The sequence below is a fragment of the Homo sapiens genome, chromosome 4, assembly GCF_000001405.40.
Source record: "Homo sapiens chromosome 4, GRCh38.p14 Primary Assembly".
NCBI lineage: Eukaryota > Metazoa > Chordata > Mammalia > Primates > Hominidae > Homo > Homo sapiens.
Window position 1 is genome coordinate 147,950,584 of NC_000004.12, and position 18,334 is coordinate 147,968,917.

The 18,334-nt window shown below is 37.6% G+C and overlaps 1 protein-coding gene across 6 annotated transcripts in view; it reads left to right on the forward strand.

The window, feature by feature from the left end:
• Positions 1-18,334, forward strand: part of ARHGAP10 (Rho GTPase activating protein 10) — a 340,689-nt gene that overhangs the window by 218,496 nt on the left and 103,859 nt on the right. For 5 of the 6 annotated variants that reach the window (NM_024605.4, XM_005263215.4, XM_047416160.1 and 2 more), the window contains 3 exons: positions 4,733-4,791; positions 14,441-14,546; positions 16,097-16,256. In NM_024605.4, coding sequence (NP_078881.3) covers positions 4,733-4,791; positions 14,441-14,546; positions 16,097-16,256 — 325 coding nt within the window. Of the gene's footprint in view, positions 1-4,732; positions 4,793-14,440; positions 14,547-16,096; positions 16,257-18,334 lie in introns of those variants that run through there. The other variant, XR_001741324.2, reaches the window with a different exon arrangement.

An 18,334-nucleotide genomic window follows, 5' to 3' on the forward strand; every position in this document is an offset into this window, starting at 1 on the left:
CCAAAGCCCCAAAGCACCAAACTAAAACAAGAAGCAGGTCCTCCAGGGTCTTGGAGAAGGAAAAGTATGTGCAGTGGACCGATGTGTGGCATCCCTCTTTTTCTTCTACTGACGAGGCAATTTTTTTTTTTAACTTCTCATGTTTTAGAGAGCTGAATACCAGCCCTCTGAATGATTTCTTATCTATGCAGACCATTATTTCGATTTTCAGAGATGTGTTCATTACAGCAGTTTTCTGTTGTGAGGGGACAAATGAGTGGTTTTGTGATGTTTCTAGTCAAATGATTTTACCTGGAGGAAACTTCTTTTAAGCCTGGAAATTGTAATGGGACTTTTTGGGAGGGAAATGCCAGCTTAGATAAATATTATGATTTATATCCCCCAACAGATCCCAACGAGTGGCAAAGAGAGGTGGCTCAAAAACATGTCGGGTGGGAGGCTGAGAGTTGCAGTGACTCAGCATAATACATTCTGTATGGGGAACTTGTCATTTTTATGGCTGCTTCCCTAATGTTAACAATATTTATTTTTTTATGCTGCATTGCCTAGCTAGACATATGGCAATGATATAAGTAACTTGTAGAAGATATTCAGATACAAATTCATTTTTATTGGAAAAGAAATGTATTTCTAAGGTTTCTCATTCCCCCCCTCCCTCGACCCCACTTTTCTTTTTAGCACCCTTTAACTTTCCTTCTCTGCTAGATAACCATTTTTCTTCTTTGTTACCTCCTGCTTGTCTATATTTTGAAACAAACCCCCTAAAGACTTACTTCTGATTGGCCCTTCTTTCTCCTTATTTAGGCTGTGGTATAGTTGATTTTTTTTTTTTTTTCATTTTCTTTGTGAAATGGGAATGTAGGGGGAAAAGGAGAGGGAGGGGAAATAAGAGCAGGACTTTTTCACTCATGCATTAAATTTTAGTTTATGGTTGTCATTTTGTGTTTGTATGTATATACTATAGCATCGTAAATTGTATGTAAGGAATATATGTACCTTAACATTTTTTTCTTTTATTTTTCAATTTTCTTTTCAAAACATTAAAAAAAAATAGAAACAGGGTCTCACTTTGTTGCCTAGGCTGGTCTTAAACTCGTCGTCTCAAGTGATCCTCCCACCTTGGCCTCCCAAAGCACTGGGGTTACAGGTGTGAGCTACCATGCTTGACCTATTTTTATTTGTTGTTTAAAGACAGCTTTATTGAAACACAGTTGACATACAATAAGCTGCATATATTTATAGTGTAAGTTTCGGTAAGTTTGATATATGTATACCTCTGAAACTATCACCATAATCAAGATAGTGACCCTGTGCATTATTACCCCCCAAAGTTTCCTCCTACCATTTGAAATCTCTCTCACACCCTACGGAAGTAGCCTCATCCACTAAAATGTTACTTTGCAATTCCTGTAATTTTATATAAATAGAATTATATAGTATATACTTGAAGTCTGTATTATTTCACTTAGAATAGATTCTTCTATGTTGTAGCACATACCAACAGTTCATTCCATCTCACTGCTAACTAATGGACCATTTTATAGATACACCAGCATTTTAAAAAATCAGTTCATCTGTTGCAGGATATTTAACTTGCTTGTAACTTTCGGCTGTTGCACATAAAGCTGCTAAAAGCATTTGTATACCTATATTTGAGTGGACGCAGGCTTTCATTTCTCTTGGATAAATCCCAGGAGTGGAATATTTAGATCATGTGGTAATTATGCTTAACTTTTTGGGAAACTGACAAACTTTCTTCCCAAGTTGATGTATTTCTTTACATCCTCACCAACAATATACAAAGGTTCCATTTCCTTTTCATTCTTGCCAACTCTTAAGCTGGTCAATCTTTTTCATTTTAGCCATCGTAATAGGTATTTGGTAGTGTTTCATTGTGCTTTTAGTTTGCACTTCTCTAATGACTAGTAATGTTGAACTTTTTTCCATGTGCTTATTTTCCATTTATATATTTTCTTGGGTGAAGTGTCTGTGCATATCTTTTTCCCAATTTTTTACAACTTAGATTGTCATATTATTATGTTTTAAAAGTTAAAAAATATATTTTGAGTACAAGTCCTTTCTTAGATACCTGCTTTACAAGTATTTTCTTCATTCTGTGACTTGTCTTTTTGTTCTCTCAATAGTGTCTTTCAAAGAGAAGTTTTAATTTTGATGAAGTCTAGTTCATCAGTTTTTCTTTTTATGGACTGTGCTTTTGTGGCTATATTAAGAAACCTTTGCACTTATTCAGGGTCACAAAGGTTTTCTTTTTTTGTTTTCTTCTGTAAGTTTTATAGTTTTAGGTTTTACACTTAGTTCTGTGATCCATTTTGAGTTAATTTTTACATAAGATATGAGGTATGAATTCAAGTTCATTTTTGCATAGGGATCTCCAGTAGTTCTAGTACGATTTGTAGGAGTGGCTATTTCTCCTAAATTGTCTATTGATATGATCATACAGTTTTCTTTTCATTTGGTGAAGTACATTGATTTTTTTTTTAGATATTATGCTAGTATTGTATTCCTGTGATAAACCCAACTTATGATATATTATTTTATTTATCTTGTGGAATTTGATTTAGTAACATTTTATTTAGAATAGTTGCATCTATGTTCATGAGTGATATTGGTCTGTAGTCTTCTCATAATGCCTTTCTCATAATGTCTTTAACTTTGATATTAGGATAAAGCTTACCTCACAGAATGAGTTAGAAATTATTCCCTCTTCTATTTTATGGAAGAATTTGTATAGAATCAGTAGTTTTTCTTTCTTAATTGTTTGGTAGAATTCATTCAGTGACATCATCTGGCCCTAGAGTTTTCTTACTGGCAAGATTTTTAACCACAAATTCAATAGGACTACTCAGGTTATCTGTTTCTTCTTGAGCGAACTTTGGTAGTCTGTGTCTTTTCAGACATTTGTCCATTTCATCTGAGTTGTTGAATTTATGGGCATAAAATTGCTCATAGTATTTCTTTATTTTATTTTTAATATCTTTAGAATCTGCACTGATTCTGCAGTCACCTTTCTCATTCCTGGTGTTGTTTGTTTTCTCTCTTTTATTTCCTAATCATTCTGGCTGGATTGATCAATTTTACTGATTATCTTAAAAGATATGGTTTTGGATTAATTTATTTTCTTTATTTTTCTGTTTTCGATTTAATTGATTTCTGCTTGATTTTTATTATTTCTCTTCTTTTGCTTACTTTGGGCTTAATTTACACTTCTTTTTTTTCCTCATAGCTCATTAAGGTACAAAATGAAGTGCTTGGTTTACCACCCTTCTTCTTTTTTAATATAGGTGTTTAGTAGCATAAAATGTCATCTTAGTACTGCTTTACCAACATCCCTCAAATTCTGATATGTTGTGTTTTTATTTCGTTCTTTTCAGAATACTTTCTAACTTCTCTTTGAGTTTTCCAGATATCTTTCTGTTATTGATTTTTAATTCAGTTTTTGTTGTAATCAAAAAACAAACTCTGTGTGTCTTAAACCCTTTTTATTTTTTGAGATTTGTATCATGGCCCAGAATATGGTTAATCTTGGAAAATAAATGGCCTGTATGCACTGGGAATGTGTGTTCTGCTTTTGAGTGGAGTGTCATTTAGGTGAAGGACATGCCAGTTGGATTAAGTTGGTTGATATTTTTGTTCAAATCTTCTGTATCCTGATTTTTCTACTTGTTCTGTTACTGAAACAGAGAGGTGTTTAACTCTCTGATTATAGTTGTGGATTTGCCCATTTCTCCTTGTAGTTCTGTCAATTTTTGCTTCAAGTGTTTTGGGGCTCTCTTATTAGATCTGTTAACATTTAATATTGTTTTGGCTTCATGATGAGTTGACACTTTTGTCAATATGAAATGACCTTCTTTATCTCTGGCAATATTCTCGGCTTTGCATATGTTAAAAAATTTTGTTTGTGCATCTTTGATTTTTTTTTTAAACATTTGAAGCAGAATTTCTGAGTTACAGGATTGTAACCTTTTAAAAGTTCTTAATATCTTGCGAGATTACCCTCCAGAAAGGCTGTACAGACCGACACTTGTCTAGGTATTCTTTAAGTGTTTATAAAGCTAGTTGCTCTGATCTTTTATAATTTTAAGATATGTAGCAAGGTGGACTGAACTGTAGCATTTCTGTTGATCACAGGATAAAATAAACTACCTTATGTAACTTGTTTTGTAGACTCTGAAAATGCTGTGTATATTTTTAAAGTTGTCATCAATTTTATTTCATCTCTCATCTTATAGGAATAAAGATAAATTCTTATTTTTATAATATATTTAATCAGAGAGGATTTGAGTTTGTTTAATCTTTTCTATGTATTTTGTGTGGAATCTTCAGCTAATATCTTAGAGATGAAGTTTCAAAATTGTTTGCTTACATTTGGTTAGATGGTATGTTTGGCTTTAAATACATTAATGTGTAGAAGGAAGTTTTATATATAAAACCAGATGTTCACAAAGCTACTTTCCGTGATTAGATATGAAATACTGTATGCTTAGGTCTAGTAGGGATTTGTGGCTCCCTAGGCTTTGATAGTGCTTGGTGCCAACAGCAGTTAATAAAGTGATCCGTTTATGTATCTTTTTTGATATGTAAAGGTATTCCCTAGGGAAGTTTTACACATTAATTAAGAAATGCATAACAAATTTAACATCCTTTCATAAAAAAACTCAGAAGTGACTTGTTTGGATTTATTTGATAATTCTGAGCTGTTCTTTTCACACAGGAGTCTTCCAGAGCCTCTCATGACCTATGAGTTACATGGAGATTTCATTGTTCCAGCCAGTAAGTATTATGTAAAGGTATATAGGAACAGTTTTGTAGTTGGTAGTGAGCATAAACGAAAAATTTCCATATGAAAAATTCAACTTGTTATTGCAGTTTGTGTTAAAAATAGAAATCGCTTTAAATGATGTTTGGTGCCTCCCCTCATCCTTGGGAGGTGAATAAAAGGGACAGTATATTCTTTCATTTATTCACATACATTAATTATTTCCTATTATGTTACTGGATATGTAAAGCCAAGACAGGATTCTTGTCCCATGAGACAATTCTATAGCAAGTACTGGGGCATACTTCTCATTATACTACAAAATGTACAATAATGGCATGAGCAAAATGCTGAGGGAACACAGAAGTATTTAATTTGCGAAAGGTTGTGGAGATGAACAGATTTGGAGAGATTAGTAGTTTGGAGGTGGCTTCACATAGACAGATACTCGGATCTAAATTACAGACAGAAGGAATATTATGAGATAATGCCAGAACTCCAAACAGTATTTGATACAGACTGAATAATATACAATCAAATGTTAAATGAAAAAGGCCTATAGTTGGTAGAATTTTGTGATTGAATTTTTTGTGAGTCATACTCATTTGAGGCTTTGTTTTCTGTTATATGGCTCACTTTCTATCTTTGACACGTGTTGTTTAATCATCATAGTCTTCTGAAGTACACTGGTGTTAGGTATTTAATAGTGAAGGAAATGAAGGTTGAGACATGTTAAGTAACTTGCCAGATTATAGGGAGCCTTATTTAAAATTCAGAACCCTAGTTCTACTAGCTAAAACCTGCAGTATTGGTTTTCACAGGTGCACTGACAGTAGCTGTAATTGTATTTTCATTTCCTTTTATTTTCTCCTCTTGGATGTATTCCATAGTTTAATCTGTTGAAAAACTTAGAGCATTCCCTTTGGGACCAATGTTACCGCTGCCTGAACATTGCTTTAAATGTTACCTTCTTGTGAGGTCCTTGCTCCAGCCAGTGTAAAGGTTCCTCCTGTGTTGCAGGAAGGAGGAGTGTGTAGGCCCCATTAGACTCTACATATAAAAGAGGCTTTTGGAAAAGCAAAAACTGGTTCTATTCGTTTTTGTTTTCACATGGGGAGAGGATTTTTTAAAAAAGAGAATTTGTGAGATCAAGGGAGTGGGGGAAAATTTTTTCGGCAAAAACTCAAGTAAATGCTTAGTTGTTTTGATTTCTTCCCTGTGGCATTTTTGGCAAACTGGGGAAAGAGAAATTAAACTTAGTTGGAGGACAATTGTTTCATGTTGTTTGCCTTAGAGACTGGAAAAAGCAGAAGAGTGCCAATTTTAATCTAGAATCCTTTGAGAATTAGAGAAAGATAAAGTGATTATGGAATAAGGTTTTTTTTTTTCCTTTTTTTTTTTCTTTTATTATTATACTTTAAGTTTTAGGGTACATGTGCACATTGTGCAGGTTAGTTACATATGTTTTAAATGACCACAATCATTAGTATTATTACGCCCCATAACTGATGGCAGTGTTTTTGAAATTTGAATATCAGTGTGTTTTACCAAATGAAGAGGTTCCTAAGAGGTAGGAGCTTATATCTTAAGAGGTAATAAAATCTATGGTGGTAGAAAATAAGTTTAAAGAGTTTGTTGAAGGCATCTTTGAGCAGAGTGGTGAAAACGATTGCAGAAACGCAGACAAGATCATCACCTGTTGGACCAGTACCTTGTGTTTTGCTTCCTGACTTTGTGGGAATGCTGTGATAGTCTTCACAGTGATTTGGATGACAGGACCGTCAGAAAGAAATACTGTTTCTACTGTAATCATTGGCATGGATTTGCACCTAAGTGCCGTTGTGGTTGGAATGGGACCTGTAGTAACTTGATTTAATGAGAAAAAGTACATGTACTAAATGGGTGTATTTTAGGGGCCAAGGTTTCCAATGTAGACTTTAAGTTTTTATTTTAATCTCTTGAGTACCCTTCTCTGCACTCATTGCCTCTTTTAGAGAGTGTGGGAACAGATCTCCTAATCTTTTGCATATGGACTTTTAAGGATCGAATAAAATAGTTACAGAAATCAGGTGGCCAAAATTAGTCTCCCCTTTTGAATGCTGTTGGAAAATCGGGATTGTGGTTAAGCTGTCATTTTCCGTGAACAGTGACACAGCTTACCTGGTTTTGCTCAAGTGTCTGTTAGCTGAGCTGACTGCTAAAATTACTAAGCATCAGCAGTCTTTGTTACCACCTCTCACACCAACTTGAAAACTAATTTTTGATTCTTCTCAGTCATGTGCAGTGGTTTCCATCTGTTCTGTGGTGATGAGATAGTTTCTTCTCTTCTACCCTCCCTGCTGAGAGTTCTCAAGGTTTCTCCTGGGTCCCATTGTTTTCTCTCATCAGTTTCTTTCCTGTAGTTTCCTGTTGTGAACCTCCGTGTTAATTTCTAGGGTTCATGATACAAATATAAATTTCATTTCTATTTTGTCACCACAAAAGGCACATTTGTTTTATGTTCCTTGTTCTGAAAAAAAGATCAACTTACTTTTAAAGGTTGACTGCATTGGAAAAGTTAAAACATTTTTTTCTTTGAGAAAATTAAGAGAGTTAATGTAACTTTCTCCGTTAGCTGAATTCCAAACTAAACTTATAAAAGGAACCCAGTAGACGATCCATCTTGGGGGAGACTATAATGGACTTTTGACATGGAAATTTATAAGACGAAAATGTAGTTACCTGGTCTATGGGGAATACAAAAGATTGTGTCCACCACAGGCAGGCATCTAGCTGGATGTCTTACTGCGTGATGTCTGTTACCTTTGAGAAAGTTGTAGGCTATGATCTGTGTGTCAGCCTTTTGGCCTCAAAGTCCTTGCTGTATCATTTTGATAAGAGTGGACTCATGCCTCAGGGTTGGAGTCATGGTGCTTAGTACGAGAATGACAACTAAAGGCTGAATGCCTGTTGTATCAGAAGAAAAATCTCTTCACTGTCAGTTAAACCAAAACACTTGTGTTGCTATGTTCAGTGTATTTCTTCCTGTAGTCAAGTTAGTTGGGAAGCAAAATGATTACCACAAAGGTCTTTGGTTATTTATCATGAGAAACATAACTATAATCGGATCCAAGACATTGGTGTTTACCTAACCAGAATGTTCTATCGTTTTTGATAAACATATCTGGGAAGCAAGACAAAAATCATGTGATTCTTGCTGGGGAAGGGCTTAGGAACCCAGGAATTAAGGGAACTGAATGCTTAGTGGCATGCCTCCCTCTTAGCTTGATGTATTCATTTCACGGTAGATACGAATGCCACAGGAGAAATGCAACACTTGATGTCTGTTGACTGAAGCCCTTTATCCCTTGGGAAGTGCTTGGATGGTTACTGCTAATGCCTTTCTAAAATTACAGTATCATTGACTTTTGACATTTCAATATTGAAATAATTTAGCATTTATCTGCCTCTGTGTCTTCGATAAGCTCCATGATCACATCTTTTTCAGTTTCTGTTAGTTGGCACAGCATCATAAGCAGATGGACATTACAGTGTGGTAGATGCTGATTTGTAGTTACACAATTAAAATGCCTTTTCCACTACAGTAAGCTCCTAATTCCCTGGCATATTTCAAGAATTTGGTATTATGATTAATTTAGTATCCTAGTTTTTTTTTTTAAGGTAGGCTGTTCATTCTTTGTCAATCAGTAGCAATTAAAATAAATTGCATTAGCATAAGCAACTTTAGATGATTTATCTTCAAAAACTTTTTTTGGAGTACCTTAAAGGTATTATGTTGTAGCTACATAGAAATGATTGCGAATAGAAAGCTCTGATGATTAATGTCAAAACAAGATAGAGAAAAAAATGGTTTTATTTAAAAAGCCCAGAGTATTTTTTTTTTTGTTTTTGAAGAAGAGGGAAAAAGACTTGGCAGAAATGGATGTGTGATTTTAAAATAGATTAGGATGGGCTAGCAGGAGAGAGACTGAAGATAGTGAAAGGTTTTGACTCTATTTTTCTTTTTTTAAATTTTTTAAAATTATACTCTAAGTTCTAGAGTACATGTGTACAACGTGCAGATTTGTTACGTATGTATACATGTGCCATGTTGGTGTGCTGCATCCATTAACTCGTCATTTACATTAGGTATATCTCCTAATGCTATCCCTCCCCGCTCCCCCCACCCCACGACAGGCCCAGGTGTGTGATGTTCCCCTTCCTGTGTCCAAGTGTTCTCATTGTTCAATTCCCACCTATGAGTGAGAACATGCGGTGTTTGGTTTTCTGTCCTTGCGATAGGTTGCTGAGAATGATGGTTTCCAGCTTCATCCATGTCCCTACAAAGGACATGAACGCATCCTTTTTAATGGTTGCATAGTATTTCATGGTGTGTATGTGCCACATATTCTTAATCCAGGTTTTGACTCTATTTTTCAAAATCAATTCCACTATTTTAAGAAATGAAGAATGTAATTCATAGAGTGTGGGAAACTGTTTCTCTAGCTTCTGTTTCTAAATAATGAATCCTAAAGTATTTAAACTAGGTTTTCACTGGAAAAAGATGATTATTAATGGCAAGATAGACTCACAAGTTAGTAGGTTTTTAGTGCAAAGTTTTCCAGACTTTTTAATTTTTGCGATATAAAATTCTTATCCTCAGTAGTTGTCCTTTTACTCCTTTGGAATTTCTACTATTTTGCAGAGTCTCTGCTTTAAGTCTATTTTTAAAAATCAAAGCTGTGAATTGAAATTGTTATATTGTTTTTATTTTCTCTAGTGTTGATTAGTATCTTGTTTTTTATACCAGATTAAGAACTGGATTATAATTTATTACCTAACCCTTTAGACAGTTGTGTTTTTGTTTCTGGTGATAAATTTAGTTTGTATCTAGAAGTTTTTTTAATGATATAATATGATTTGGTTGTGTTATTTATGTGCCTTTTAATTTCTTAGCCTTTTTGCATCCTTTCTGTTTAGCAACAGCTGTCTTAGTGTCCTCAGTTGTAAAATATCATTTCTCATTCTCAAATACTATTATTAGGGGTGTAAACTGGAACAAACTTGTCTTTACAAACATTGGAAACAATCTAAGTGTTCATAAAATCGATGGTAAGGTGTTCCATTTAATGACACTGAAAAATATCTGTGATACATTAAATAAAATAGGTTGTTTAGGCATTTCATTACCAAAAAAAGGAAGGAAAACTCTGCAGGATTTATACTTAAAATTTACCAGTTTATTTTAGGATGAGATTTATTATGGGTAGCTTTAAGTGAACTTTTTGTTGAAATATAACATGGGCTCAAATAAGTATACAGCTTAATGAATTTTCACATGTAATCAGCCCCAGATCAAGCAATCAAACATCATCAGAAGCCCTTTCTCTTGCTCATGTGGTCATTATCCACTCCCATGAAGTGTGATCACTCTCCTGACATTGTAGGTTGAGGCTGCAGCATTTGGACTTTATGTAAATGGAATCAGAGTATATTCTTCTGTATCTGGTTTCTTTTGCTCATTTTGTGAGATTCATCTCTGTTGTATGAAACATTCATTCATTTTCATTGCATTCTGTTTGAAGAAGCCACAATAGATTTATCTGTTCTACTGTTAATGGACATTTGGGTTGTTTCCAGTTTTGGGCTAATAGAACGCTGCTGTGAGTATAGGAGTATGTGTCTTTTAATGAGCATTTATGTGCATTTTTCCTGGTTATATACCTACGAGTGGAATTTTTGGGTCGGTCATAGGGTATGTGTTTGTTCAGCTTTAGTAGATAACTGCCAAACAGTTCTTCAGAGTGGTTGAACCCTTTAATGATTACCATCTAGTTAGCATGTGGAAGTTTCAGTTGCCTCATGTCCTTGCCAAAGCTTAGTATTCATTTAAAGCCATTCTGGCAGGTGAGTATTACTCTTTCATTGTGTTGTTAACTTCTGTTTCACCGATATAGGTTTATTCTGTTTTCATAGGTTTTTTGGTCACTGGAATAAATATTTTGTGAAATTCCTGCCCCGGTCTTTTGCCCTTTTGTCTGTTGGATTGTCTCTTTTTTCCCTGATTGGTTTGTAGTTCTTTCTAATCTGATTGCATGCTGTTTCTTATGTATATATGTATTTCAGATATTTAGTACTTTGTACTAAGGTCATTTTCTCTGTGTTGTCCAAGATTTTAGTATTACAGGTATTTAACTTTTGTCATAAGGAAAACTATTATCCTTTTGAAAAAATAAATGCCCCTTTCTTGATCTGCTTTACCTCTCTTTCCCATTCTCTTGTTTTTTTTTGCTTTCTGAACAGGTGTTCTGAAATCCCACTCTTCTCCCCTTCTCCAGCAGCTTCCTCTTTGTTTAACCTCCTCATTTTAGTAGAAAGGGGCTCTCAGTTGATAAAACTGGTGATACCCAGGGCCCCTTAATCCCAGTGTTTCCATTCCTTGACCTCTCCTTACCTCTCGAGTCCACTGGCTGTGCCCAGCCTTTGCAGATTTCTTCTCACTTGCCTTCCTGATGACATCGTACCTCCCTGGTCCTCCCACCTCTTCCTCCTCCTTGGCTGCATTGCCTGCTTGACTTAGCCCTTGACTTCACATCTCCCTGTACATCTTTGGAGCCCTTTTCCCCACAGTGCCCTCAGTTAGCTTTCTGTAGAAGTTCGGCAGCTTTGTCCATGAGCTAGTGGTCACACCTCCTGGAGAACATTTCTAGCCTTGATCTCTAAAGCCTCCTACTGTTTCCAGCTACTGCTAAATACCAGCCATTTGAATGTCACTTCCTCCATTCCCTCCACCATCATCTCCTTCCTCAAGACAGCTTTGGCTGCTGTGTTTCTGTCTGTTGGTGGAATTGGCCCTGTTGCCAGACTACCCAGATGTGAAACACTGCTCGTCTCTGCCTTCTTCCTTCTGACCCACTGCTAGTCTGCTGCTAAAACCTGTCAGTTCTGCTTCTTCCATCGTAGCGCTCAAATAATAATAGTAACACGAACAACAACAGTACTAATGGCTAACAGTGATTGAGTGCCCACATGTGCCAGCCACAGAGGCTAAGTGCTTTATGTATGTTACAGCATTGAATCTCATAATGGCCTTTTAAGATATTGTTTCATTTTGCAGATGAGGGAGCTGAGGCACAGAGAGGTTAGTTAGGTAATTTGTTCAAGACCACTCAGCTATCAGTTAGAAGCAACGACTCCCAGGTGTAGTGACGGTCCTGACATACAATCTTTTGACTTTATGAGGGGCTTATTAGGATGTCCCCCCATCATAAATCATAGGGCATCTATATTTCTTTGTTCTACTTCCCTCTTTGTAGTTCTACCACCTACCTCACTCCCTTTATTTTTATTTTTTTGAGATGGAGTCTCTCTCTGTTGCCCAGGCTGGAGTGCAGTGGTGCTGCAACCTCCGCCTCCTGGGTTCAGGCACTTTTCCCACCTCAGTCTCCTGGGTAGCTGGGATTACAGGTGCACACCACCACACTGGCTAATTTTTGTATTTTTAGTAGAGATGGTCTCACTATGTTGGCCATGCTGGTCTTGAACTCCTGACCTCAAGGGATCTGCCTGCCTCGGCCTCCCAAAGTGCTGGGATTATAGGCATGAGCCACTGTGCCTGGCCACCACTCCTTTCATTTCTTTTTTCTTATCTCCCACATAACTTTTTCCTCCTAATTAGTTCTTTTTCCTATTCTAATCCATCCTTTAAGAAAAATATCAGGCATACCTTCCCCAAATATAACTCTATTCATATCGCTTTCTTGCTTTGTTTTCACTTGACTAATTTAGAAGCCAACAGTGAGACAACTTCTTCAAACTGGCCTTTGCAGACCAGAGTTGGCCTCGGGCTACCTTTCTATCTATACCCTCGAAGAGCTGTCTCTGCACAGGCTCTGTGCTTTTTGTCATGCTATTTACTGAATTTGGAATGTTCCCCTTGCCCCTCAGTCCTGCCTTTCCTTGAACCCTTCCCCGTTCTTCAGGACCCAATCTCCAAGGGCTCTCCATTATGAGACCCTTCCTGAGCTTCCCTGGCCAGCCCTAAGTGAAACTACAAAACCGTTTCTAACCTTCTTTTCTGTCAGCAGTAAATTTAGAACCTAATTCTCTTTTGTCACTTCTTTGACGCCTGTGAAAACTAGCAAAATCTTCAACAACAAACATTTTATTGATTTATTTGATAGTTTTCCAATCAAGAACACAATAAAGGGAATTGGGGTACACTGTTAATAAGAGCCACGTATAATAATTCCAAAGTTTGGGGGTTAAGGGATTGTGTTTTCCAGGGCTGTTGGAACAAAGTACTTACTACTAACCAAGTGGCTTCAAAGAAGAGGCATTTATTCCGTCACAATTCTAGAGTCTGGAGGTCTGAAATCAAGACGTTGGGAGGGCCGTGCTCCCTCTGAAGACTGTAGGAGGGATCCCTCCTTGCCACTCACAGCTTCTGGTGGTTGCTGGCCGTCCTTAGTATCCCTTGGCTTGTGGGTCCTTCATTCCAGCCTCTGCTGTGACAGGACAACCTCCGCTGTGCTGCCTGTACACGGTCACTATCCCTCTCTTTGTTTTCTTGTAAGGATGCCAGTCATATTGGATGAAGAAGCCCCACCCTACTTCAGTTATGATCTCATCTAAACTGACATCTGCAACAGCTCTCTTCCCAAATAAGATCGTGTATTAAGCACGCCTTTTTATTCTGATGTTTTGACATCTGGGGCCTCACTGACCCGAGGAAACTGCCCCTCCCAGGGCTGGCCCATTCCTGGAGATATTAAACTTCTGCAGGCTTTTCACATGGAACTCTCCAATCCAAAGCCCCGTGACCCCCCTCCCTACGAGCCTCCTCTGCGGGCCCTTACGCTACAGGCTGTACTCTCCTGCCCTTGTCACTTCAGTTCCGAGTATCAGCAACTAGGGACAGCCCTTGTGCTGCAGTGCCCACTGAAATAATTTAAACCAGCCGGTCCTCAACCTGCGCACCCTGCCTTGCCCATTCCTTCCTGCAGAAACTACAGTAGAGGCTTTGCCCGCATTCCCCGTTCTTCCTCTGCCTCTTGATCGACGCTGGTGCTTCCCCACGTGGCTGTGCACAACATGCCATGCCTTCTGTTTCTAGGGCTCTGTGAGTCTAAACTTTTCCCTTCCTGACAGTCATTTTCATGCATGCCTTAGCATACCTGATGTCATTAAATCCCAAGTACAGTTTAAAACAGCCACACTGCGAGTTCTAAGGGCTAGAACTTCAACATATTTTTTGAGGGGGTTATCCTGTTCAACCTGTAACATGCAATAGCCTATTTGCTGATATTTTACTTGCATTCCATTGTGGCGTGACCCAGTGACTAGACCCCATCGAGTAAACGATGAACAGACATGAAACACAGCATGTCAGAAGGAGAAGCTTAGCAGCTGTCCGTTCTGTAATATAAACCAAGGAAAAGGCACCGATTGCAGCCACACTGAAATTACCTCATTAGGGGAGGCATGAGAAGATTCATCATAAGGAGAAAGATTTTTTTTTCCTTTTAACGGTGGCAAAATATGTTTACATTCTCCATGTTTGATAATCTTGAACAGAGGAGCTGTTGTCATTGTCTTGGGAAATATATTTGATTCTGAGTTCTCTATTAACTATTGTTTTCTTTTTCTTTATTTTTTTCTTTATTATTATTTTTTTTTTGGAAGAAAGCGGCAGCCCAGAATCTCGTGTTAATGCGATCCATTTCTTGGTACACAAACTGCCAGAGAAGAATAAAGAGATGTTGGATATTTTGGTGAAACACTTAACAAAGTAAGCCTCTTTTTCTTCGTTTTAACTTTCTTCACTTTGCTCTAGGTGCTGGGTAGTGCTCTGGGATTTGTGACGGGTGGAACTGGGGACCACACCTGGAAGGGCAGGCTGAACGTTTGACTCATTGTGTGTGTTTTGGATAAGACTGTTGAAATATGCTTTCATGAAGCTGTATAATTATTTGCTTAACATCTCTGCCAGCAACTCAGGGTTTGATTTGAAGTGAAAGAAGAGAATATTATACATTACCCTATACACAGATTCTGGAAGTGTGAATATAAGTTTGTTAGAATATTTAGCTTGGTTTCACACCTACCTACCTCTAAATTTGAACATGTCCTTTAAGTTGGCTTAATTCAATAATGGGTAGTTATTTTATAGATTTCATTCCCTTTTCCTCCTCCTTTTAAAAACCGGCAAAATCAAATCAGTGGAGAAATTAGCCCTTTCTTTAAGTATAGAGATCATTCTAACTGTAGAATTTTAGACGTGAAAGGAAGCTGAAGAACGCTATATTTTAGAACCTTTCTTTTACATATAAAGAAAATGAAGGTCAGAAGATACTGTGATTTGCCAAGGGACCTACTGCTAGTTTAGCCATTTATTCATTTGGTCAACAAATATTTAGTGAATGCCTTTCTTAGGTGCTAGTGGATACATAGTTGAATAAAATAGTCTAAGTCCCAGCTTTCATGAAGCTTACTTTCTAAGGGAAAATATGAAAAACAGATTACAAATAAAAATATAAAACAGCTTCAGATGATAAATAGCAAAAACACAAAGCAGAGTAAGGGGACAGAATATATTGAGTGTGAGACTATAAAAAATGTTATGCAAAGGCTTTTTGAAGATGGTATCTTTGAATTGAGACCTGAATTAAGTTGCAGGGCTGCTGAGAACAGTTGTCTATGTGATTCACTGCACAGTGATACTGGGCTGAAAGAGTGATTGTGGGTGCTCTGACCAAAGTCTGCATGCTTTTACAAAGGTGCTACGCAGTCTAGTATTCCTTGGAAGCAAAAGTATAATATTCTGGGGAAAGAGTGAGTTTTCTAAGAAGAGGGGAACAGTAAACTAAGGCTTTTGGGGGAAGCAAGATTAGCACATACAGTTGGCTCTTTGTGAGTCCTGCATGGGCAGATTCAACCAGCTACTGATCAAAAATCCAGTATTCCCTGTGGACATGAGGGTTGACTTTTCTTTATCCATGGGTTTCCTGGGTTGACTTTAGAACTTGCACATCTGCAGACTTTGGTGTCTGTAGGGATTCTGGCATCAATTCCCAGGGGATACTGAGGGCCAACTGTGCATGGAATTATTAAGAAAGCCATTGTGGTTAGACTAGAGCACCAAAGAGAGGGAAGTAAAGGAGTAGGCAGGAGCATCTGCATGGAGGGTTTCTCAGATCTGGTTATTTCAGAGGTAGATGTTGAGGGTGGTTAAGTCTCTTGACCCCTTGCTTTTAAGGAAATACAGAGTTGCAGACTATTTACAGTCCACAATTTTTGCTCCTTTGGTTAAACAGATTCCTCCCCCCTTACCAATTTCAGTGTTTCAAATCACTCCAAGCAGAACCTGATGACTGTGGCAAACTTAGGAGTGGTGTTTGGACCAACTCTGATGAGGCCACAGGAAGAAACTGTCGCTGCCCTCATGGACTTGAAGTTTCAGAATATTGTTGTGGAAATCTTAATTGAAAACCATGAAAAGGTAAAATTTTTTTTTTCTTTAAGAGACTTTGTTTTCGGCTTGTCGCCATGTACTACACAACGATCCTCTTAGATTTCCCTTTTCTCTCTCTCTGTTTAAAAAAATTCTTTCATTCTCACTGTGATGAGCTTGGTTCTAAGAAGTTCTCATTGAGCTTCTGTCTTCTGATGGAGTTCCATAAATCTGAAATTTATCTGGTCTTTTGTTATCTCCCTGGTTTAATGAAGAAGCATTTAATCCAGATGTAAGTGAATATCAAGGCAATTGTGAACTATTTAGGACTTTTGTTGCTTTTATTCCCATCTTTGGATTTCTCACTCAAATTCTGTGTGGCACAGCAACCCTGTACTCTTGATAAAGTTAGGGCTTTGCAACTTACAAGAGAAAATAAGGCAAATAAGGTTGAAGGGATGTGAGATGGGGCCAGAGGACCATGAGCATCATTGAGAGTAGGGGTTGAGGGGCAGTGAAGCCAGCCCCTGCTCTGCACCTGGGAAACCGCCTGCCTTGCAAAGAGTCTTTCTGGTTACACCTAGCTGTTGTGAATGACAAGTAAAGGAGGAGAAATTGGGGAAGGGTAAACTCTTCAAATATGCTTAGGCATTGCATCTGGGGAGCAGGGAAGGGTAAATATTCCTGGGGTGTGGTGGATGGGGTTGACCCAGGTGATCCATGTTGGGGTGAGCAGAAACTGCTTTAATATACTCTTCCCTCCCACCATACCCACTCAGCATATTAACTACTAGAAATAAGTACTGTTTATGATTGTCACTTTGGGATCACTTTCCCAAATTACTGTTATTTTCTCCTTGATTAGATATTGTCTATGGCTACTCTTACGATACAACAGAAGAGTCTGGTACTTGCAACAGAGACCAGATAGCCCGCAAGGCATAACTATGTACTGCCTGGGGGATCTGCAAGGCTTTTCTGTAAAGGACCAATCTAGAGCAATAATTTTCAACCCCAACAAATCAGAATCACCTGAGGGCCTCTTGTAAGTGGCTGCATAGCCATGCGTATTCTGTTAAATTTTTGCCTTCCCAAGAATTATGATAAGTAGCCAGCAAGAAGAACTGCTAATCTAGGGAGGAAACGTCTCTTCTTTATTAAGAACTTAGGAGAGGACTTCAGTCTGGAACACGAAAAGAAGGTTTCATTAATATTTGAGAGGGTTTTGTTCATAAGAGTTAAAACAAGACCTGAGTATGGCATTTGTTGGTGTTAGAGCTGGCCCATGGCAGTTTGTGTTTGAATTGAGAATTGCAAGGAGCTGGTGTCTATTCAGTTTAGCTGGGCTTCATTTATATGTAGGGATGAGATAATCTATGGGGGAACATAAGGAAAAAATGGTTTTAGGATGCTTTCGGAGTGCTGTTCTCAATAGGACCACCTTGAGGGCCTGCCTCTCTCCCGCTGTCTCAAGCCCCCTCAAAGTAAAGCTTCCACTTATTAAGAAAAATGCTGCTGACTCATAGTTAAAAGTGTACCTTTATTTTTATAAGGATGTAAATACAGTTTTTAAAAACACTTATTCTTTAGGGCAGTACTTTTCAATCTTCTTGGGATCACAGGCTGCTGAGAAGCTGACAGAAGTTATTACCCCTTTTGTTAGTAACCCAGATAAATGCACATAAATCCTTCTTTCCCCTTAATTGTTCTAACAGTTTCAGTGGGCTCACCTGCATTCCTGAATCTGTGGACTGTAGGTTAAGTATTTCTGGTTTAAAATGAATAATCTCTTAAGTGACTTGCTTTCTTACTTGTTTCTCTGTAATCAAGGGAAAACATGATTTTAAATACCACATTATTTTCTTTCAAGAACTTTTAGATTTTTTTTTCTTCAGTCACCTGTAGATGAGCACTTTGCTAATAACATTCCTGACTTCTGCCTCTAAGATGGGGAGCTTGAAAACTGTTAGAATGCTTGGTCACTCATTTGTTTATTAAAAAGATTTTTTTAAATTGAGATTGCATCATATGCCAGACATGTAGTAGGTGCCGGATGTGCAGATGAATATTCCAGCTCCTGTGGGAAAGCAGGTCGTCATCTGGGGGCGGAAGCCATGTTTTGGGAC